Consider the following 24949-nt stretch of genomic DNA (forward strand, 5'->3'; position numbering starts at 1 on the left):
TGAGTTAAACTGTGGCAGTTTGTCTGATGGCTGTTTCAATGGTCTGGAAGTCTTTGGGAAGGTGTTCCATGTCTATAATTCTGACAATATAGTATTCTCTGGGTGACATTTTAGATACACATGGCCATATCTGAAAACCATGGGGACATGCAAGAGGAAGTCCTGAAACTGTAATCAACTCATTCATTCATTGAATAAGCATTTATTGTGCACCTAGATGAACAGAACCTAGCACTGTTTTCGCATTAGGGATAGAGCAATGAATGAGAAAAACAAGGCCTTGGCGTCATAGTGTCTTATGGGCCAGAGGGGAGAGATGGACAATAAAACTATGGACAAGCTTTTAAAAATAAAATTTCAAATTGTGATATTGGTAAGTGCTGTAAAAGCAAATAAACAAAAACCAGAGAGGTGAGATAGAGAGACTGGTAGGCAGGAAACCTTGGTGGTTTAGGTAGAGGGCTCTGGGAAGCCTTTTGGTGGGGAAGACATTGGAGCTGAAGCTTGAGGGATAAAGAGGCAGCTCAGTGAAGATCGGGGGCAGAGAGTCCCAGGCAGAGGGACAACAATGTAACGTCCCAGTGGCGGGAAAAACATGGCATGTTCAAGGAGCAGAAGAGAAGCCCAGAATGAAGGGAGTGTGGTCAGAAGTGGGAGAATGGAGGCAGAGGAGGCTGGAAGGATTGACAAGGACCTGCTAACCATGGAAAGGGGTTTGAAGTATATTCTAACTGCAGTGGGAAGTGACCAGAGGGTTTCAAGCAAAGGCTGCTATCATCTTTCTATGTGATCTCTGCTGCTCCACAAATCTAGTGGACCAGCAGAACCACCACCCCCGGGAAGATCTCAGATCCCACCGCAGACTGGCTGCAGCAGAATCTATACTTTTACAAAATCTCTGAATGCTGCATGCGTACGTGAACTTGAAGAAGCACTTCAAGAATGATATCTATGCTTTAAAAAGACTGCATGGTACACCCACTAGGATGGTTATACTTTTTTTGAGAAGGAAAATAACAAGTGTTGGTGAGGATGTGGAGAAACTGGAACCTTTTCACATTGTTGGTGGGAATAAAAAGTGGAGCAGCCACTGTGGAAACCAGTTTGGCTGTTCCTCAATAATGCAAACATAGTTACTCACTTAGAACATTTCCACTTCTGGGAATATACCCAAAAGAATTGAAAACAGATGTTCAAAGAAAAACTTGTACATAAATATTCAGAGCAGCACTACACACAATAAACGAAAGGTAGAAACAGCCCAAATGTTCATTTACTGATGAAAGGATAAACAAATGTGGTCTATCCATATAATGGGATATTATTCAGCCATAAAAGGAATGAAGTACTGATACATGCTACAACAGGGATAAATCTTGAAAACATGCTAAGTGAAAGAAGCTAGACATGTTAGGCCACATATTACATGATTCCGTGTATATGCAATATTCAAAATAGGCAAATCCATAGAGACAGAATGCAGATGGTGGTTGCCAAAGGCAGCGGGGAGGAGAGAATGGAGAGACTGACTAATGGGTACAGGGTTTCCTTTAGAGGTGATGAAAACCCCAAACTAGATAGTGGTGATGGTTGCACAACACTGCCAATGTACTAAGTGTCACTAATGGTAAATTTTGTGTTATGTGTATTGTACCATAATTTTCAAAACAAGACTATAAAGAGCAAGGGCAAAAAACACACCAAATGGTAGTTCTCCAAGAGCTATTGTGGGGTTAGTGGGTGGTTGCTAATGGTGTCTTAATTTTGTAGCACTTCAGTAATGGTCTGGATACTAAAAACTTTAAAATGCACATACATTGTTTTGAGAAAACACCAGGCTAATAGACCTAGTCAATATCTTGTTGAAAACTCAAACAAAAATGAACAAAGCTGAATTAGGTCCAAATTAAGTAGAATGCAGTTCAGCAAGCTTGAAAAGAAGAACTGAACAGTTGTCAAGGGCAGGAAGGTGAAAAAAGGTGCAAGAGATAAAAATCGAGGAGTCAGGAGCATGGCCACTGGAATCCGGAAGAGAGCACTGTGGACAAAAGGTCAATTTCAGTAACTGGATTCATACGTGGGTGAATCACAGATCACACAGAAACCACTGGGTTCCCTTGCCATTCCATTCAGCGTCGCTTACCTGCATTCTCAAATTGTGCTTCCAACTCTGGGGTTTACACCTGGTAACCTGAAAAACAAAGAACCATGGATTGGTTAGATTTACATATTAACACTTAGGAAGAGAAGGTATTGCATATTCATTCATTTGTTCATGCCCTACTTCCTACTCCCTATCCCCATCCAATCTTCTGGTCACCTACACTACTCACCTCTGGAGAGGCCGTAGAGCAGTGGTCAAAAGCATGACCTGCCGGGCGCGGTGGCTTACGCCTGTAATCCCAGCACTTTGGGAGGCCGAGGCGGGTGGATCATAAGGTCGGGAGATCGAGACCATCCTGGATTAACACGGTGAAACCTCGTCTCTACTAAAAATACAAAAAATTAGCCGGCCGTGGTGGCGGGCGCCTGTGGTCTCAGCTACTCGGGAGGCTGAGGCAGGAGAATGGCATGAACCTGGGAGGCGGAGCTGGCAGTGAGCCGAGATTGCGCCACTGCACTCCAGCCTGGGCAACAGAGCGAGACTGCGTCTCAAAAAAAAGAAAAAAAAAAAAAAAGCATGACCTCTGAATCTAGAGTGGCTTCGAATCACACCTCCAACGTTTACTGTAAGTGATGCTGGGCAAGTCACTTAACCTTTTGCGCCTCTGTTTTCTCATCTATAAGGTGGGAATAATGATTCAGAATTATGCGAATTAACTGAGGCAATACATGCAAAAGGCTTAGAACAGTACTTGGAACTTAGGAATCACACAATTCCATTAGCTGCTTAATATTATTATTAACATTAATTCATATTATTATTACTCTGCTGGGCATTGGGATTGTGGAAAGAATCAGATGTTCTCCCTGTTGTGGCAGAGCTCATGTCTGGTGCGGGAATCTACTAAAATGCTGCTTGGAAAACATAAAGGAAGAGGTGGGCACAAGTTCTTTGGGGTCCCATAAAAACTTTAATTCTGTCCAGTGGGAAAGCTAAGATTTCAAAGACCAGGGGGCATCTGAGTAGCAGAGAGGATGACAGTGATTATTGGCGAAGGGAGCAATATGTACAAAGGTCAGAAAGACGTAAGAGCCTGGCTCCCTTGAGGAACTGTGATTGACTCGGTGGAGCTGACATAGGGTATGAGGGACGGATCCTCTGCAGATAAGCTAGAAAGGTAGCTCCCCTCACTTCTGGTGCTTGCTAGCAATCTCTATCATTTCCTTGCTTGTGGTTGCATCACTCCAATGTCTGCCTTCGTCTGCACGTGGCCATCTTCCTTCTGTGTTTCTGTGTCTAAATTTCCTTTTTATAAGGACACCACTCACTGATTAAGGTCCACCCTAATCCATTATGAGCTCATGTTAACTTGATTATATCTGCAAAGACCCTATTCCAAATGAGGTCACATTCATAGGTACCAGGGCTTAGGACTTGAACGTGTCTCTTGGGGAGGGCACAATTCAACCCACAGCAGGGCCTGACCAGTTAGAGCAGCTGGGAGCTGCAGACAGACACACATTTTACATGGATCACTCCCGTGATTTGACGTGAGGAGGCTGGAGGGCTATGAGATGCTGAAGGATCAGTTAGGAGTTTATTGCAAAACAGCAAGTGAGAACCTCAGAGGCCCGGAAAAAGGCCATGTTTGTGAGAATGCTGAGCCATCAGAAGCGCTGGCCAACCCAGTTGGAATTTTTGGCAAGAATAGTTCATAGGCAGAGGGCAATGTGAACTTCCATTAGGAGGCGCATCGTGCCTGGTTATGAGCAGGTACTGACCATCATTTCCTAGATTCGTTATTTCATTAAGTTTGATAAAATGGTGACATTCTAATTCCATCATGTCCTCTTCATTTATTAGTGGGATGCTTCTAGAAAAAGTAATTTCCTCTCATCAACTATTTTTATTAACTTTGATGTACAGTATAAGCAGGAAAATGCTTTTACTTAAAAAAAAAAAACTAGTTTTAAACTACAGAGTTGGTTCTCAGGCATCCTCCTAAAATAACATTATTTTTCTTGTTGTTGGCTGTCATTGTTTTTCTGTTTGTTTGACGTCATTTTGAACTCATGGATTTTAGCATATTTGATGTATTTCAGTCCGTGCCAATTATTATCCTTGATAATGCCAAAACCATTCTAGTAGAAGCCTCTTCAAGTTGCCTCCTGAGTCCTGTTAATGCAATCCCAGTAATCTTGCCAGTTTTCTTGCTTTTTTGAACTTCTCCAAGTTGGGTGAAGATTGGTATATTATTGAGTATTAAATTGCATTTCTTTTATTAGTAACAATATGCAGGAGCTTTTCGTGTATTTAATTGGGTGTATCGTAAGCGTGCGGCTGACCAGTACATGGATCAAAGTATGTGGCATGCTGCACTCAAGAGTGCACTGAGCAACCAGCCTGGGCAACATAGCTAGACCCCATCTCTACAAAAAATTTAAAACTTAGCTTGGCATGGTGGTGTGCACTTGTAGTTCTAGCTACTTGGGAGGCTGAGGTGGGAGGATTGCTTGGGCCCAGATGTTTGAGGCTGCAGTGAGCTATGATTACACCACTGTACTCCAGCCTAGGTAACAGAGCGAGAGCCTGCCTCTATTAAAAAAAAAAAAAAGTGCACCGAATTATCAACCAGGAGCCCTATTCTCTAATCTTGCCATTGGCATGACCTATAACAAAGTCACATATCTTTCTGGATCTTCCTTTCTTCCTTATTAAATTAAGAGGTGTGGCTCTATAGTCTTCCAATCCCCCTGTCAAGCTAAAATGCTGAGATCTTTATTTCTGGCTCCTATGTGCCCCAGACCTCATATAAAAGTTTTTTTTTTTTTCAATAGAGCCAATTGAATAATTGTATAACTAAGTTCAATTTAATTTTTGTGTTTGTGCAAGTTATTTTATCAAATTAATTTGTAAAACAAAAAAACTGTTAGATTACATGTCCTTTTTAAATATTATTATTATTTAAAAATATGGTCACTGAACTGATGAAGGCCACATTGATTGACCCTTCTGCCTGCTCTTTCAGAAGCTGCAGCCAACTGGCAAATAGCTTCCCCAGCCTCCTGCTGAAGCATCTGCTAATGCTCTGCAGATTACTGTGTCCCCTCCGCCTCCCCCCACCTTCCCTGTCGCCCTCCATCCTCAGGCTGCTCATTAACTCATTAGAAGCTGCTTTCATAGCAGCTGGAGGGGAGGTTCTGCTGCCTGCTGATTGTAGCTCAGGGTTTTCAAAGCACCTGCCTTAGTGTCACCTGGAGTCTTCGGTAAATAGGACCGTATTCGTCTACTCGGTGCTTCTCCACAGCATTGAACATAACATCAGGAATCAACACAATCCTTGTGAAAATCTTTATGCAATGTCTGTCCCATGCACTGGACAATAAGCTCCACAAGGACAGGCTGTGTCAGGTTTTGCTGACCTTCGTATCCCTGGCAATCAGCTCAGGACTTAGTACTTTGTGGGCATCCCAAGATTTCCTGGATGCTAAATGCATGAGTGCAGGAGTGACTGAGTGAATCAGGTTGAACTTGGGGTTGACGTGTATGTCTAGGTGTCCATATATGTGTGTAAATGTATGTGTGTGTGTGTATATATATATATATGAATCTATACAATGGGGTCTCCTGTACTAATCTAACATACTCAGAAACTTCAGAGGAGGAGGCTGGCAAGTTCTTCATCCTGTGAGTCTGTGAGCTATTAGGAAAAACAGGCCTGGCACATGGCTCACGTCTATAATCTCAGCACTTTGGGAGGCCGAGGCGGGAGGATCACTTGAGGTCAGGAGTTCGAGACCAGCCTGGCCCACATGGTAAAAACCTATCTCTACTAAAAATATAAAAATTAGCTGGGTGGCAGGTGCCTGTAATCCCAGCTACTCAGGAGGCTGAGGCAGGAGAATCACTTGAACCCTGGAGGTGGAGGTTGCAGTGAGACAAGATTGTGCCACTGTATTCCAGCCCGGGTCTGTTTAAAAAAAAAAAAAAGAAAAGAAAAAGAAAAAGAGCACTGGCCTGGTAGGTCAAAGACCTAGAATCTGCTGCAGACTTGGCCACTCTCCATGACCTGGATGGTTTTGAGCCCATCACTTAATCTGCAGAACAGTGGTCTGGGGCCAGAGCATCTGTAATGCTCCTTCTAGTGCCAGTATCCTAAGTTTCTCTCTGTGGGGAGTGCTGTGTCACTTACTGAGATAGAGCTCAGATGCTGGCAGGCTGCCTTCTCAATCTCTGAATGACATACAACATGTTCATTCTACGTATCCACCCTACACAAAACTCTTCTGTAGATTTACAGTTTTCAAAACCAAATGCTGACTCTCTTGCCTTGCACAATCATTTCTGACTTTTAAGACTATCTGCTTCCCAGGTTTCTCTCTCTCACTCTCAGTCACCTTGTGTCAGCTTTAAATTACTGACCCCTAACTGAGTGCCAGGCACTGTTCCCACCACTTGGCAGGTGTCAACCCATTTCCCAAGGATAAAATTCGATCCCACTAGGTTTTGCCCATGTCACATGCTCGTATTTACAGGCCAACCGTGTCATGTCAATTTCATTTTTCTTTGGCTGATGTGCTACAGCGTGTGGCTTGATTTTACATTGGGGCAGTATGGAAAAGGTAACTTAAGCTTGGACACTTAGGTGGGAGTGGAAGACAAACTGCAGGGTCATTGCCCTAAAGTGGGTTAGAGTGTATGGGGAAATTAACCTTCAAGACGTGGTGGTTATTATACACAATATGAGGTAATATATAAAGTGCGAAATCCCGTGGCATACTTTATAAATCCTCCAAGATACTCTGGAAATACTTTATCAATCCTCTCGAGGCCAGGGAATGGAGAGTTGAGTGGGAGCCTGTGTAACCCTCAGGTGTGATGCTTCTCTCCGAATGTCCATGGTGTCCTGACACTCCACGGGTCCTGCTGCACAGCAAGAGCAGGCAACCCAGGCTCGGTGCCCCTGAGAGGATGTTTCTAGAAGTCCACTTTCTCCACATCATACCTCTCCTCCCTGCCACACACTCCATTCTATTTCTTTGCTACTTAAAGTAACAAAGTCATCTTGAATAAATACATTAAAATTTTATTTTATTTTTTTGAGACGGAGTCTTGCTCGGTCGCCCAGGCTGGAGGCCAGTAGCAGGATCTTGTCTTGCACTAGTGCAACCTCTGCCTCTCTGGTTCAAGTGATTCTCATGCCTCAGCCTCCCGAGTAGCTGGAATTACAGGCATACACCACTACGCTTGGCTAATTTTTGTATTTTTAGTAGAGACAGGCTTTTGCCATGTTGGCCGGTCTGGTCTTGAACTCCTGACCTCAGGTGATCCACCCACCTCAGCCTCCCAATGTGCTGGGATTATAGGCGTGAGCCATCGCGTCTGGCCAAAATTTTATTTTGCTGATGATATAGAGGCTCATTCTAGAGATTGGAAAGCATAGAAAAGCATAAAGGAGAAGGAAAACAAAAAAGCAACCCCAAACCAGAACACACCCAACTTCACAGTCACTGTTGGTAAGTCAATTCTGTTTTCTTTCCCCCAGTTCATATCCCTTGAAGACATGACCACCACGCTTCACTCCCCGCCTGTGACACAGAGGAAGCTCTGAGATGAAGAGTCCTCTCCGCCACCAGAAGCAGCAGCGAAAACCCATCCAAAGGGTTCAAGAAAAACTTTCATTCTGAGAAGAGGAACAGGGTCGGGGAGGCACGCCGGACTCCACATCATTTCTTCCTTCAATTTTGAAGGAGAGTCGAGGGCTGGACCATCAAGGCTTTAGTCTGAATTCAGGCCTAATGTGAGAATTAAAGAACAGAAACCGCCAGACTAACCAGATTCTTCTTCTTCCAGCTGACCTTGAAGATGCTGCAGAAAGATTTTTAAAATAAAACATCTTGAGCTCCCCTTCTTCTCCCCTCAAACCTTCCCTTTCACCCCTCCTAGATACACACAAACCACAGCTTCACTTTTGTCAAGCTAACTATATGAAGTTTTCTCTCTTCTTCCCCCTCTCTCATTAACTCCACTCCCTCAGCCTCCCTCGATTTTCCAATGATTAAAGTAGTGGGCTTTTTAAAAAGGCCTCCAATTAGCACCTCATCAGCTCCAATTAGAGGAGACAAAAGCAGTGTAAAGATAACTCAGTGAGAGGGGCCGGCGCAACATCATGTAATCACTTAAGACAAGCACTGAGCATTCTTTTTGCGAACCACGCTGGGCCTATTCACCTTTCTTTCTTCCTTTTAGATGCATTTAAGACTGTTTTGCTGGGAAGCCAGGCCTCCCAGGAGTCTCATAATTCCTCATTCAGAGGCTACCTGTTTACAGCTCACAGAGTCCAAGGACCTAAACAATCCTATATTGTCTGCCTAGTGCTTCCTTAAACTCCAGCCCCATAATGGTGTGTTTTCTGCGGCCAGCCGAATAAGTTAAAGGCTGGCTTTATACTCCCAGAGTGTTCTCCTTGTACTGTCTTCTAATTACAAGGGAGGGCAACAATGTATTTTTTTCAATGAGAGTTCTTTGGAGCAGTTAATTTGGTGCCTGTACTAAATGCCCCCAAACATTAATTAGGGTGGAAGGAACCCTAATTTCCTCAGCAGCTTTCCTTTCCACTTACTTCCCTTGTTTTCACATAGGCCTGGATGAGTCTCCATAATGAAATTACCTCATTAATGCCTTTATTCACAGTAACTCATTCAAAACCGACCATTTAGCTTTAATTTAATGCTGTCAAAAGGAAAAAGGTGCATTCATGGCTTTGATTAGCAAAAATGTCTCCCCCCCAAAGGGGTGGACAGATTTAAATTATGAAGATGGTAAGTAGTGAGTTATAATTGGGCACAAGCAGCACTTCAGGAAGGCTTCCCTGCTTTCAAAGCCTGGGCTGGCCAGGCTGCGGACTATTAACTGTGTCCAGGGCCTTGTTCTCGGGATTTGAATTGATGGCAACTTCACTATAAAAAAGAAAATGGGGTTTAATTTTTGTTTAATACACAGTGGGGTTGTATTTACCCACAGAGCAATAGCTTTTCAATGAGCTCGGGCTTTGTTCCCTGAATAATTTATTATCCACGCTTTCTAACATGAGTTTTGAAGGGCACCACGCATGTCACAGTTTCTGGGGAACAGGAAAACCTGAAGTGCACAGACTGAGCAAGTGGGTGGTTGACATAACACCTTGGCCAGGGTAGCACCAGATCGATGAGCTCAAATCACAGGATTCATCATCGTTTTTAAAGCTACAGCACACTGGGGAATTTAACCTTGAAAAAATTCTTCCTTCACATTTTCTCATTTGAGACAACAATCCTATGAAGTGAGATTCAGATAGTAAGAATCGCCCGGTGAGAAAGCTGAGGCTGAGGGGCCCAAGGGAGTTACTGAAAATCACGGTTAGTGGCAAATGCAGGACCAAGCCACTAGTGCATGCAGGGGAAACACAATACTTTGAGTTTTGAGGGTGGAGCTGCTTTTTTTGTAACATCCAGAGGGTCAAGTGTGTTTACATTGGCTCAACCTCAATTTGTATGTAAAGAAGACAGTCTACATCACCAGGCGTTGCTATCCTAGCTGCAATGTCTATGTTCTATATAAAATGATACAGCACATGGGTTATGTGTCAGTGAATCATGAATGAATCAAATAGGTCTTTCTGGATCCAAAATGGTGTTCAATCATTGAGCACAAGCTGAGAGAAAGACACACACGCACACAGACGCACACACGCGCGCACACACACACACGCAGACAGAAATACCTTATAGGAAAGACCAACAGAAGTATGTTTATTTCTAAACCTCAGTCTGGTTCAGGCAAGATAGGGCTTTCCAGTGATGGGATAAATATAGTAAAAAACAAATAAAACCAGATTGTTCTTTTCTTTCAAAACCAAAAAACAACCAACAAGGCGGTATGGAGGTTAAACAGAAAGAGTGTGGGACTTGGTGTCAGGTCGGCTTTAAAAATCTCACCTCTGCCATGATCGTGCTACTTCAATGTTCTCAGCCTTAGTTTTCTCCTTGTTCAAGGGGACGGTAAAACCCACATGGAAGGATGAAATAAGATAACATCTGTCAAGGGCAAAGAAATAAACAGTGACTTGCAAGTTTCAGAGTGAGGAAAGGATGGTAATAATAACCAAGTATTGAAGCAAGCTAAATGCTTGGAAAAGCATTCCATACATTGGAAGAGCCCTAAGATGCATCAGTTCCTATATTTTTATGTGAATTCATATAGTATTTAATATTTATGGCTTCTGTGATAATATTTTAAGTGATAACTTAATTATCACCTAAAGTGATAATTTTAAGTGAAACTTTCAAAATTGGTAGATATTAGGCATGCTATTAAAATACTCTGTGCATTTCTGAGCAAAGATTATTATATTCAGCCTGCACACATCAAGTAGAAGTAGCTCTGACCTTTTAGAAAATACCAGCAATGGGAAACAGATGTATTTTTTACATCGAGTCATTGCAACTTCATCAGATAATTTGCATATGTTTAACTTCATCATTGTTAAAGCTAAGCATGTTATTTACAAAAAAAAATTTTCTTCATCAGCAAGGCAAAATAGCTCCCTTAATTAATATAATATTAGTGTTTTAGCAAAGAATCCATCACGCCAACATGAAAACCAATATTTTTCTGGCCTTTGGTCAAAATTCGCTGGGCTTGGTCATTGTTGAAGTGGCCCTTCCCCTGTGTGTTCCTGATCAAGACCCTTATTTTTTGACTTGAAAACATGAAAACAAATTCCGGTATTGAATAGCTGGGAAACACCAGGCCTCCTCTGCAAATCTTCTCAGAGAAAGTTTCTTTTGTGTTGGCTGCTGAATTCCTCCACCTCAGTAAGCAGAGTGACCTTCTCCTTTCCTATTTATAGTGTGTGTGTGTGTGTGTGTGTGTGTGTGTGTGTGTGTGTGATTGCAAAAGGTTAGAATCCCACCAGCTGGCTTGGCTTGTGAGCCTTCCTGTTTTTATGACACAATGATTACACAATGTAGACAGCACTCTCCATTAAATGCAGGATTACATGCAATGGACACATCACTGCAAACCCTACTCCCCTTTCCCTTATTCCAATGGTGCCGTTTTTAGACATGGCATTGGTATTTTGACACTAAAAGAGAAGAATTTGTGCAGAATCTAGTTATGCACTCCCTCTTTAAATTAGAACTTTCTGCTGTAACATCACTAATATTAATAAATCACAATGGTTTAGTCCTAAAATTAGAAACATTATTATATTATATTATATATTATATTATATTATATTATATTATATTATATTATATTATATTATATTATATTGGCAAAGTATTCCACATGATTCCAAATTGCAATTTGCTTGGTGGGTATTGGAAAATAGGTGTTATTATGAGTTGACTTGTGTTCCCCTGAAAAGATATGTTTAAGTCCTAACCTCAGTGCCTCAGAATGTGACCGTAGGGTCATGGCAGATGTAATTTTACAGTAGTTAAGGTGAGGTCATATGGAATAGGTGAGTCTTAATCCAATATGGTGGTGTCCTTATAATAAGGGAAAACTTGGACAGAGAGACAGATGTGCATGGAGAGAAGACAATGTGAAGGCACACAGCAAGAATTGGAGGGATGCATCTATGAGCCAAGGCACAGTGCAAAGATGGCTGGCAGGCCACCCGAAGCAAGGAGCAAGGCTTAGCACAGATCTGTCTCTTCATCTTCAGAGGAAGTATGGCCCTGCCAATGCCCTGATTTTGGACTTGTAGCCTCCAGAACTGTGAGATAATACATTTCTGTCTTTAAATCACCCAGTTTGTGGTTCTTCATTTTAGCAGCCCTAGAAAACTAATATAGGGGCTAGACAAATATTTTTAGAATTGATTATTTAACCTCATTATAAGTAATGGGCATTACAGTCATCATGAATATGGGTGATTTATTATATAAATTATATAATATATATATAATATGGCCTTATTAGAGCAATATTTATTTATTTATTTTTATTTTTATTTTAGTTTAGTTTTTGAGACAGAGTCTTGCTCTGGTGCCCAGGCTGGAGTGCAGTGGTGGATCTCAGCTCACTGCAACCTCCACCTCCTGCGTTCAAGTGATTCTTGTGCTTCAGCCTCTCTAGTGACTGGGATTACAGGTGTGAACCACATCACCACACCCAGCTGATTTTTGTATTTTTAGTAGAGATGGGGTTTTGACACACTGGCCAGGCTGGTCTCAAACTCCTGGCCTGAAGTGATCTGCCTGCCTCAGCCTCCCAAAGTGCTGGGAATGCAGGCATGAGCCACAGCGCCTGGCCTATTTTTTGTTTGTATAATCCTTTTCTTCCTAAGATCTTCAAGCAATAACAGTTTGATCATTGATAGAAAATATATTTCCGAGGCACTCATTTGATACCTTCTCCTTCTTCTCTCCCTACCCCATTCTCCTCCCTACCTCTTCTTCCCAAATGTGTCATCTATAGGCTGCTTCAATATCTTGCCTTTACTGTATGGTGTTCTTGACCATAGAGAGAACGCCAGATGTCAGCGTGACCTTCTCACTACTAAAAGGAAATTATTTTGATCTCTCATTGGTAAATGAATATAATATATACATTTTAAAATATACATATAAGAGAAATGATATATTTATAACAATGACACATATTTAGCATTGGATAAAAATAATATCTGACATTCACTGAACACTCACTATGACCAGGAACTAAACTACAGCTTTACACATATTTTCTCAACTTAATTCTCCAGAAAGTCCTATAAGGCCCCTGGCATTATAATATCATTATACTCTTAAAAGACGAGGAAACTGAGGCACAGAGAGTTGACATTCTGTGTGACAGTAAGCTACGATGCAACACAGTGCGCTAGAACTCCAGCTTGAGAGCTTTGCCTTTCTCCTGTCCAGAAATGCTAGCCTCCTTCTACTCCTTCAAATCAGAGCCGAAAGCAATGGCTAGCTTTTCTCCGTAATGCAAGTTTCTCATACTATTTACATACAGCATTCTTTTTTTTTTTTTTTTTTGAGATGGAGTCTTGCCCTGTCGCCCGGCTGGAGTGGTGTGATCTCGGCTCACTGCAACCTCCGCCTCCTGGGTTCAAGCAATTTCCTTGCCTCAGCCTCCCGAGTAGCTAGGACTACAGGTGCACACCACCACAGCCGGCTAATTTTTTTGTATTTTTGTAGAGACAGGGTTTCACCATGTTGGTCAGGATGGTCTCGATCTCCTGACCTCGCGATCCGCCCGCCTCGGTCTCCCAAAGTGCTGGGATTACAGGCGTGAGCCACCGCGCCCAGCCATAGAGCGATCTATCTGTCTGTCTGTCTGTCTGTCTATCTACCTACATACCTACCTACCTATCTCTCTCTCACCACCAAAAAGCAGGAAAACTAATATTAGGAGGAAAACTAATATTAATAAGCACAACTTATGGACTGAGCATTGGGCTGTGTGCTTTGACACGTTGCCTCTTTGGTCCCCTCAGCAGCTTGGTGAGGCAGGCATTGTTATGCCCGTTTTTACATGTGTTGAAACTTAAGGGATTCACCAATGCTGCACAGTGTGTGAGGAACAGAGCTGGATTCCAATACAATTTTACCTGAAGCACATGCTCTTTGCAGGACAATGTATGTTCTAGGAGGAAACAAAGGCCAAGAGCGCTTTCAAATGACACGGCGGTGAGGACCATCCAGCAGGTCTCCGGAGAGGGCTGATGTGCGGATTCGGCTAGGAGAGCACAGCCTTAGAGGACCTGGACAGGAAGGAGGAGAACCCTTCAGTGGAAACAAGCTTGGAGAAAAGTCAAAACAGGATTTGTACCCTCTGATCTTAGAAATAGTCCTAACAATCAAGTAATGTTGACAGTTTAAGAAACTCTAAGGCTGCTCAGCCAGAAGCAAGAGCTGGTGCAAGTGACACCATGGTAAGTGTGAAGGGTCCCTCCTCTGCCAACAGGGAGCTGAGCAGGGATTTCTGGGAAGAGGAACTTAGGATTACGAGGCATGGGGAATCTTGAATGAGGCAGAACTGAGAAGCAAGTGAAAATTTTCTTCATAAATAAGTGGGACACAAAGTTGAAAGTGCCTACCAAGTTCAAGGGCTGGTACATAGTAAGTGCTTAATAAATACCCATTTCCCTCCATCTCTTCTCTTTTATATAATGGGGCATTGCAACCAGTGTTATCGAAGCAGGGAAATAAAGCAGCGAATCCTGTTGTAATCAAAAAGTGATGTGAAAGATGTTTAAAGAATTTTGTAAATTCTTCAGACAAATTTAAAATACACATGATGTGAGCTTGAAGGAGCTTCAGAGCCATGAGTTTCAAACAAGGCTTTAAAAAATGTGGGCTGGACATACCCAGTGGTCTTGGACATGACCTCTTCTAGCCCTGAAAGCCCACGTCACCTTGTTGCTTGCTCCTTTAAGCAGTCTGCCTTAGATACAATTTATTTGTGTCTATAAATTATCTCCTTTAACAGGCTGTAAGCCCCCAGAGGGCAAGGGTACCTTCTATTCATATTCAGTTTTGTTTATTTGGTCCACAATTACTTTACTTGGTACCTTGGCCCAAGTATTCTCATTCCTATCTTTTCTACATTATGTACATACCTGCCTTTGCCAATAAGATAGGAACTCCTCAACGGCAAGCGCCAGTGCACAGGTACATGCTTACTACCACTTCCTGCTCTGGAGCACTGGAAAAATTAATCTACATTTCAAAGCCACCCTTGTTCCTGGCAAAATTCTCTTGGATCTGTGCTGGTTTCCTCCCTTGGGTCAGGGCCAAATTTTAACCCTTGTTGTGCATGAAGTGTTTCCATGACATAACTCAGTACTGTGTATGTCGTAGGTAGTCAGCAAATAATTGTTGTATTGAAAAGAATCAGAGTATGGCACCCCAAAATATGCCCTTTTGGTGTAAGGACTGTTTTGAACTTACAGCAATTTGCTCTCTGCTCTCTCCATTTCTGTCAAAAAGCAGGGCATAATTTTCCCTTTGTAAATGTAACATCTGTTGGAACGGTATCTCACTCTTCCATAACAGGAAGAGAACCACTGAGACACTCCTATCACCTGAGATGACTCTTATCTGCATAACAGAATCCCAGCACTTTGGGAGGCCGAGGCGGGCAGATCAAAAGGTCAGGAGATCGAGACCATCCTGGCTAACACGGTGAAACCCCGTCTCTACTAAAAATACAAAAAATTAGCTGGGCGTGGCGGCGGGCGCCTGTAGTCCCAGCTACTCAGGAGGCTGAGGCAGGAGAATGGTGTGAACCCGGGAGGCGGAGCTTGCAGTGAGCCGAGATCGCGCCACTGCACTCCAGCTTGGGCAACAGAGCGAGACTCCGTCTCAAAACAAAAACAAAAACAACAAGAACAACAACAAAAAAAAAACAGATAAGAGTCTGATAAGGGTCGCACTAAATGACCCTTGTTTACCATACTTTTTTGTCCCCTTTCCATAACTTAGCATTCCCCACGAGCCCCAAACCTTTTCCCTTTAGCCTCTTCTCCACAATTTATTGCTCTTTGTTAAGACACAGTATACAACCCCTGAATTCTAATAACCTCTTTGAGTTATTCATCGCTGAGTTCTCTAGCATGTATGTGCACTGCAAGTATAAACAGACTATTTTTTCTTCCTTATCTTTCGTAACTTTAATTTGCAGAGCCCAAGTCACTGAACATGAGAGGACAGAGGAGAAGGCTTTTCCTCCCCTAAAGTGTGAATTATAGTTTAACATATGATAGTTAAAAATTGTCCAGTCATGTGGCTTTTGACATTCATAAAAGGTTAGTTTGAATATGGGAAGAATTGTCATACAATCAGTGCAGGGAGTAATATTAACCAAGAGCAAGTCTTGTAGTTAGCTTTATTTTATTTCTTGTGTCTTGATTTAAACAATAAAAATAAGAAGGCCAGTCATCATTTTTAAAAACCATATTCATTTTACAGGGGGAAGTTTCCCAATGAATACATAAACTTGCGAGCTTCAGGAGCATCCATCTCTTTTGAACCCTGACCCATTTGATTCATATTAGACTACGGGACCATTTGGAAGAACAGGAAGGCAGTTTAGAGCTGTGCCCTGGAAAGCGCATAATTTCGTTTTCTTCACCACGGTTGCTCTGGAAGGAAAACTGAACACAAACCTCCTTCTTCTCTCCCTTTCCTTCCTTGTTGCATCTGGTCAATTCTAACAAACATTACTAATGACCAGGCTATATCGGCATTACATAGTCAAGTAGCCCATTCAATTTGCTCAAAAGAGCACAGACATAATCAGGCATTTGGCTGAATGAACAATTCCTACTGAATAGGGCAAATATTTGGATTCAAGTATAGGTCAGCAGCAACCAATTGAAATATTGATAAAGGAAGCCTGTGGGAACTAAATGTACATAAAAGAAAGAAAGAAGGAAAGAAAAGAAAGAAGGTTCTCAAGGGGTGAGGCAGGGCAACAAGACCACAGGGGGCGATCTGTGTCCCCCACAAGAAGGTAGGTGGCTTAGCTGGGGAGGTGAGCAGAGCCGTGGCTGACAGCCTGTGATTCTAGCTGCAGGAAGCACTGTGTTTGAACTGTTTTGTGTAGTTTCAAAGTATAATTCATAATCTACTACAAAATACCATAAAACTTTCTAATGGGAATCCCCCTGCCCCTGCCCACCTGACTTTATTTAAAAAGAGAACTAGGCTAAAGTCTCTTTGTGGGTTTTTATATTGTCCTATTCAGAGGTCAGGTCTCACCAAGGCTGGTTTTGCTGGCTTGAAAACACCTCCCCCAGAGCACTGAGGAATCTCTGGTAACCTGCTTGCCTCCAACTCCCACCATTCACTCACCCGTGAGGCTTAGCAAATCCAGAGCTCTGTTGCCCAAAGTCAATGCTGGCCACACTCACAGCCATTTATAATGCCTTGCTTTATGGGTGGTTTAATTGTCAAGCATCCCCTCTGCATGTGGGCATTCACGTGCCCCAGTGCCACACTCAGCCACATCCTCTTCCTCCTAAAAGGGTCAGAAATCCACATTTCCGACTTAACCACAATATTTAGCTTTCTTAGCATTTCCGCTTCCACCTCCCCGTCACCCGCTGCCCCTGCCCCACCTGCAGATTCCTCCTCAGGCCTAGCCAATTTCCACCCAGTTCTTCCTTGAAAAGCCTCAGCGAGTGGTGATTGGGCAAAACGCTGGCTGTAACCATAGTTTTCCCAGGTTTGCACTGTGGTGGCAGCCATCAGTGAGTGAGACATGGCAACAGCGTGTGCCCCCCACACTCGGAATCTGACCGGGCTTGTAGGGTTGTGGATAATCATTTGGCATCCAGGGCCATTTCTTGGAAATGAAGATTCTACCTCCAGTCTCCAACCCGGAGGGACTGTAATGTCCTTCAGAGAAGTGAGGACTGTGGGCTGTTCTGAGCTTGTTTGGAACCCTTTCCTCATGCCACCTTCCAGGAATGTGCCGTTCCCCGGGGACAGTCCCCTGGGCAACAGAAGGCAGAAAGTTGCAGATCCCTGTGAGGAGAGACATAAGGCTGGGCTATGTGTCAGAGAGATGAGTGGTTTACTGTTGGAGGAAGGTTCTATAGGAAGGGACATGTCTCCAAGGGAGAGCAGTATTTGGATACGAGGAGATGGGTGGGAAGGGTTAACAAGATTGTGTGTGTGTGTGTGTGTGTGTGTGTGTGTGGTGGTGGTGGTGGGGAGACAGCCTAAGCAAAGGCCTAGAAGCAGAGGGTGGTCACTGCCAAAATAAAAAGAAGTCAAAATAACATTGGGTCAGTCAGAATCTGGGATCCACGCAGCCCGGTCTTCCTTGGCTCTTACAGTCTTATAAACAATTATTGCAAACATCCTAGCTTCCCTCAATATGTAAATACATTTAAAAAGAGTGCATATCTGTTAGAAATAAATGCTGAAGGCCAGGCACGGTCGCTCGCGCCTGTAATCCCAGCACTTTGTGAGGCCGAGGCGGGTGGATCACCTGAGGTCAGGAGTTCTCAACCAGCCTGACCAACATGGTGAAACGCCGTCTCTACTAAAAATACAAAAATTAGCTGGGCGTGGTGGTGGGTGCCTGTAATCCCAGCTACTTGGGAGGCTGAGGCAGGAGAATAGCTTGAACCCAGGAGGCAGAGGTTGCAGTGTGCCGAGATTGCGCCATTGTACTCCAGCCTGGGCAACAAAGAGCGAAACTTCATCTCAAAAAAAAAAAAAAAAAAAAAAAGAAAGAAATGCTGAAATCTTTACAGATTAATGATATGTCTGGGATATGTTTTAAACTATTTTGGCAAAAAAAAAAAAAAGGTGATGGGGGATATATAAAACAAGAGTGGTAAATTGGTTTTTTTGAAGTGGGGTGATGCGTGCTGTGTGGGTTTTTTATGAGTCTTTTTACTTTTGTGCATGCTTGAGAACATTTGTGATACAAATTTTTAAAAGAATTCACTTATAGCATTTTAAAAATTAATTTAAAATCTTAGAAGAAACTAGGTTGGCCGGGCGCGGTGGCTCACGCCTGTAATCCCAGCACTTTGGGAGGCCGAGGCGGGCGGATCACGAGGTCAGGAGATCGAGACCATCCCGGCTAAAACGGTGAAACCCCGTCTCTACTAAAAATACAAAAAATTAGCCGGGCGTAGTGGCGGGCGCCTGTAGTCCCAGCTACTTGGGAGGCTGAGGCAGGAGAATGGCGTGAACCCGGGAGGCGGAGCTTGCAGTGAGCCGAGATCCCGCCACTGCACTCCAGCCTGGGCGACAGAGCGAGACTCCGTCTCAAAAAAAAAAAAAAAAAAGAAGAAACTAGGTTTCCAGCCTTTACCATCTCTTACGATACTGTTCTCAAATAATGTTTCCATGGCAGCATCAGCAATATCTGGGAGTCTGTTTAAAAAAAAAATCCAGCTTTCCAGGCATCCACCCTGGCCTGTGCAACTGGAATTTCTGGAGAAGGGCCCAAGAGTGTGTTGAAACAAGGCTGCAGGTGATTCTGATATTTCGTAAAGTCTGAGAACCACTGTCTGCCTACAAGCAATGCGCTTCATGAGCTTTCTAGACCATGTCTCCTATAGGGATAACATTCTTTTTATACTTATCCTCTCCTTGCTCTGGGATTTCTCTTTTTAAATGGGAAAGTCCTATCCTTTGAAGTCTTGGCATCTCTCTTTTAGTTGCTTACAGCATCATTCTTGGCTGGACATTCTCCAGCCTTTCTACATGGCATGAGGTGCCATCAACCGTGAATAAGCCATGGGTTTAGTTAAGTATGGGATAACGTGTTATATTTCGAGTCTATTCTGCATGGTGATGAGTATATTTTTGGATAAAAGCAGTGCATTCATTCAATTGATCCACCTGTATACAACATGGACTGTGCCAGGCACTGTTCTAGTCCTTGTCTTCAAGGAGTTCACAGCTCAGGGGGCCACATCTGTAGAAGAGGCATTGTGACACTGTGCAACAAGGGGAAAATGGACGGCCTGTTTGCCAAGTCTCGGTGGGACTCTATCATTTCCAGAAATTATGCTTGCTTGCTGATTTCATGTTTGCATTATCCTGTATCAAATGAAGAAAGATAATTATGATCAGATATTACAATAGTTGATAATTTAAGTTCCAGGAGGGATTTTAAAAAGGGCCAGACGATCTCCCCTTTGTGGAAAAGTCACTATGGTGTACCCATAAAGTTTAGTGAAGAGTTTCAGGCAAACTCCTTGTGTTCCCTCTGCATGCATGAATTAGACAAAAGAAATAGCCTGGGGTTGGAGGTGGGCCTGGATGAATCAAAATTTAAAACTAATTCTTCCTTAGCAGACAGTTGAAATGTAATGTAGGCAATAGCTGAATATTCCCTAGCAGGTCTTTGGTAGAGAATATAGGGGACAGTAGAAAACCCCTTTGCCTGACCTCTATCACTTGGGGTCCAGAAATTTCTGCCACATAATAAATGTGTGTGTGTGTGTGTGTGTGTGTGTTTGTATCTAGTCTTGCCAAACATAAATGTGAAATCAAAGCAGGCCATTTATGATTTTGGCAAGGTTCTAAAACTCTTCTGAATAAATTACTGAATGAAAAGACCTAACTCCAACCTTGAACTGACCTTTACATACTCCTTTCATCCCAGGAACCTCTTGTTTTTTCTATTATTGTCACACATGTAAACATTAGTGGTAAATGCAATTGTACTGTGTTTAAAACATAAAAAAGAAGCCCCTTATGTAGGAGTAGTTGGTTGGTTAATTGAGAAAGTCCATCAAACACAGGATTTTAAAAAAGCAAACATTTTCATTTAGCTTAAAGCATAGAAGTGTATATTCAACCAATCTTAAAATATGAGCCTATCATCTTTTTTCTTTGATGGGATCTACTGATTAGAGCTTTGCATCGTCTATTTTGCACAAATCACATCCTTAATCCATTGACGATGATTTCCAGTTTTGGTTTCTTTAAACTGCAGAGACACTGCAACAGAATAAAAGTGTAGAATTATACTAAATTTTAAGTACTATCCCCCAAACTTTTATAGTAATCTTGGCCATCTCTGATTTAATTAAAAAATATGTTTTAATGACTACTTTTTTTTTTTTTTTTTTTTTTTTGAGGCAGAGTCTCGCTGTGTGCCCCAGGCTGGAGTGCAGTAGTGCAGTCTTGGCTCACTGTAACCTCCGTCTCCCTGGTTCAAGTGATTGTCCTACCTCAGCCTCCCAAGTAGCTGGGGCTACCGGCATGTGCCACCACGCCCGGCTAATTTTTGTATTTTTAGTAGAGATGGGGTTTTGCCATGTTGGCCAGGCTGGTCTTGAACTCCTGACCTCAAATGATCCACCCTGGGATCACTTGAGGTGATTACAGGCCTGAGCCACTGCACCCGGCCAGTGACTATGTGTTTTTTTTTTTTTACCAAGTCTCTTCAGTGTATTCAATTTAGTGCTGATAGACACAGGATTCATTTTCAGTGCACTCACTTTTATAGATTTAGTCAATATTGGATTGGCTACATAATTAATTACATTAACAAGTACTTGGGGTTACACCTGCATGGCCTGACAGCTCTCAACTCTCCTGGCTCCTTCTTCATTTTTCCTCAGTCCTTTTCTGTAACAGAATGCATTGAATTCCATGTTTGCATCTGCTTCTTCAAAGCCCCTCAACTAAAACAGCACACAACACACTTAGTAGAAAAATTCATAATGACTGAAACCAAAAAGTCAATTACTCTTTCAGGAGATTTCCTGAGATTAGAATCCACATTAAACAGGCCGGGCACGGTGGCTCACGCCTGTAGTCCCAGCACTCTGGGAGGCTGAGGTGGGTACATCACGAGGTCAGGAGATCGAGACCACCCTGGCTAACATGGTGAAACCCTGTCTCTACTAAAAATACAAAAAATTAGCTGGGTGTGGTGGCAGGTGCCTGTAGTCCCAGTTACTTGGGAGGCTGAGGCAGGAGAGTAGTGTGAACCCAGGAAGCGGAGCTTGCAGTGAGCAGAGATCACGCCACTGCACTCTAGCCTGAGTGAGAGAGCGAGATTCCATCTCAAAAAAAAAATAATAAATAATAAAAAAAGTTCCACATTAAACACAATCTTCAATGCCTACGTAGGCACTTTCATTCTTTGTAGTGAAAATGGCTCAGAAAGAGAAGCTTGAAACCTTACAGTACGCTTAAACATAAAACAAAAGCTCCATTCTCTAGTATGTACTACGCATTAAGCCAGGAAACTGGAGCCGTGTGTTTACTGAATGCATTGCTATTAATATCAGAGTATTATAACACTATTATAGGAATTTGTAAAATAGAGGAAAGAAAAAGGAGTCTTTCCAACTAAGTAAACATTGTTGTTTTGGTGAAGGGTTAACACATGAATTTAGGAAAGTTTTATAAGGATCAAAGCAAAGAGGACTGTGAATTAACTGTCATGTAACCAGAATATTCAATTAACTAGAGCCTAAACCAGTGGTCCATCGATACTCCTGATCACCAAATAATCCCAGTGGCTGGAGCAGAGCTGGGATGGCCCTGTGGCATGAGGGCCTGCTAGGATCTTGCGTCCAGGCCTTTCCTCCGAAGCCTGGCCTGATGGAGTGTAGTGGAGGGTGGCTTAGGAAATGAACCGGGTGTCCTTTTGTGCCTGCATTTCCCAGGCTGGTTTTGGTGTGTTGCAGTGTTGTTCCATCCCAGGTCTGAGACAATAGCTGCATCATCATATAGGAATCTAGGGCAGAGTCGCCCTAGTGATAGGTCTTTACTTTATGGTTATCAAATCTGGCATCGGTTACATAATTACACTAATAAGGTCTTGATTTTGGCAGTTGGAAAGGTCTTGGGTAATCACCTGGAGAACCTAAGAGTTCTGGAAGGCAGGTACAGGTCCTCTTCATGCCCTGCGGCCCTATCTGGCCCTCCATACCAATGGTTTTCAAGAGCGGCCATATTTGCTTCCAGAGTTTTTTTTAGGAAGCGTGTGTGTCTGTGTGTGTAGGAAGGGTGGCTATTACAACTATTAGGGAGCCTAGAACCTACCTATGTTTTGCATATAAATGCAACTTATTTTTATGGCATTTATCTATAATAATTGTATGTAAAATAAAGAAAGATTATACTTACATTTGGTTGGAATTTTACTGAGTCATTCAATGCAGCGCATGGTACCTGAGTCACCAACACTTAATTTGGATTTGTGGCCATGATATTTAGGATAATGCTGTGAACAGACATAAGCATCAGACTATTTATGCCTTCCAACATAGTTGTGTCTGCATATTCACACATGGAAATACATATTAATTCAGTATAATGACTTTGCTTTCATTTATTCTTTATATTACTGCAAGGACATTAGAGGGATTAAATATGTGCATAGACAAGTTGTAGTATCTGCGCATCTCATTGTAGGATACTAGAGGGGAGAGTTACACAGTATTTGTTATGAAAGGGGGGCATTAGGTCTGATAAGGTTGAGAAGTGCTGTTCAAATGCAACTTGCAGCCCCCAGCCATTCTGCTGCTGGAATTACATGGAAATGTATTGTTTTGGAATATTACCTCTGTGGGCTCTGCCCTGGCAAGCTGTAGTCACTGCCCCTGTGCTTGACATTCTGCAGCTGTAACACAGGTATCCTGACCCAAGCCCTTCACTTGTTTGTCGTTGGTCCAGTGCTAACGCAGCTTCTTGGAGGAGGAAACCCTGGAAAGTTAGGTGCAGGATTAAAGCTCATATAATTCTAATGGTGTTACGGAAAGGTGGTCGTCTATAAGAAGCTGCCTCTGAATATCCTATTCCAGTCTTGTATCCAACCTAGGACATCAACTTTCCTTCACTCAAACAGACCAAAAAATGGAGAGCCAACACATTCTGTTTCCAAAAGCTAAGAAAAACTTCATTAAACCGAGGTAATTAACAAAATCTCCCTTACGGACAGAATATTAATTTGATAAGAGCTTGGCCCCGAAAGAAGTACCTCTGAAGCATGCCCAAGAGCCTGCAGGAGAGCAGCAAACACCTGCCTTCACTGTCCTTCCACAAGGAAACGACACACTTTGCATCCATGAGAGCCCCCAAGCGGTTCGGTGTTGAAGCCAAATCTCAGTCTGTGTTGTGACACTGCCATTGCTGCCGCCTGCAGTACCACTGCCGCATCTGACTCACATTCTAGAAGGAAGGTAGGTTTGTCCCAATGAATGCAGCTTGGGGCAGCTGCCTTGTGGAGAGGTGACTGAGGCCGCTGTGCTGAGGCTCCCTGGGCGATTCAACTACACCATCTGCCGTGTCAGCTTGGAACTGCAGGAGACGCTAGAGGGGAAGACGGAGAAAGGAAGGGAAACAAAGATTGATATGACCATATGGTCTGCATATTGAGCTTGCTGTCTTTTACATTTGTGACTTAGAGGAACCTGTATCAAGAAAATGTCATTATTCTTATTCCACGGTTGAGGAGACTGAGACTCAGAGAGGTGAATTAACTTTCCACAAGTTCACGCAGCTATGAGGCATGCTTGACTTTTGCAAGGCCTCCTAACTCCAGTAGGGGAAAGGAACGTTGCTGATCAGGCACTATGTTAAATAATTTCACTTTTAATGTCTTATCTAGTATACCAAGGCTTTGAAGTAGGAGCTTTCCTGATTTTCAGAAATGCAGAACCTGAAACTTACAGACATTAGGTAATTTATCCGGGCTCCAAAGTCGCGAAATTAACAGAGTTCTCTCTGGTTCCAAAACTTATGACCCTCAGAAATGTAGAGTTGAAGGTGGACAAATAGAGACAGAATAATATTACACCTATAAATAAAGACCACTGCCCTATATTAATTTTGGATTTACTGCCACTCTTAGCACTTTCCAATGAGCAGATTTATTTAGCTTTACATAGCACATAAAGATGAGAAAAGATGTATGTAAGTAGAATCTTGGTAAACTGGACACTTCGTAAGGGACCTAGGAAGCTCATGATTGGAATAGAGTCTACTGGAAATTGAATGGTTGCAGAAAAGAATGAATCTAAAGGCTTTTCTGTAAAAAAAGTTTTCATATTTTGCTTGCAATTAAAAATAAATTTCACGTTTTCCTTATATGAATAAAAAATTACAGATAAGAATAAAGTCATTTCCCCCACTTTCCCAACACTCCCCTCCTCCACACTATCCAACTACACTCCCCAGAAGTAATATCTGTCTAGATTTTTTCTACATACTTGCTTTCCTATCTTGAAAATATATGTTATTGTATTATCAGTATCTTTACATAAATAATACAAAATCTTCAAATTGCTTTCTCTCCCCACGACCCCATTTAAAAATATGATTTAGAGCTCTTTCCATGTCAGAACATAAAGAT

The 24949-nt window shown here is 42.6% G+C and overlaps 1 long non-coding RNA gene across 1 annotated transcript, besides 1 other annotated feature; it reads right to left on the reverse strand.

The window, feature by feature from the left end:
• Positions 1 to 1431: 1431 nt before the first annotated feature.
• LOC107985156 (uncharacterized) lies at positions 1432 to 24538 on the reverse strand. The gene is made up of 9 exons (XR_001753470.1): positions 23576 to 24538; positions 23160 to 23301; positions 22723 to 22819; positions 19471 to 19671; positions 16957 to 17122; positions 13710 to 13862; positions 10081 to 10179; positions 7939 to 7972; positions 1432 to 2191 (listed from the first exon to the last, which is right to left on the reverse strand). It is a non-coding gene; the product is annotated as an uncharacterized LOC107985156 (long non-coding RNA).
• Positions 7822 to 8818: an enhancer, noted in NCBI's record as "OCT4-NANOG hESC enhancer chr18:57053866-57054862 (GRCh37/hg19 assembly coordinates)". NCBI's record gives its function as "activates a minimal SCP1, AML or CMV promoter by ChIP-STARR-seq in naive H9 embryonic stem cells {active_cell/tissue: H9 hESC(naive)}" and the evidence as "EXISTENCE:reporter gene assay evidence [ECO:0000049][PMID:30033119]".
• Positions 24539 to 24949: the final 411 nt, after the last annotated feature.

Source organism: Homo sapiens, chromosome 18 (genome assembly GCF_000001405.40).
Source record: "Homo sapiens chromosome 18, GRCh38.p14 Primary Assembly".
Taxonomy (NCBI): domain Eukaryota; kingdom Metazoa; phylum Chordata; class Mammalia; order Primates; family Hominidae; genus Homo; species Homo sapiens.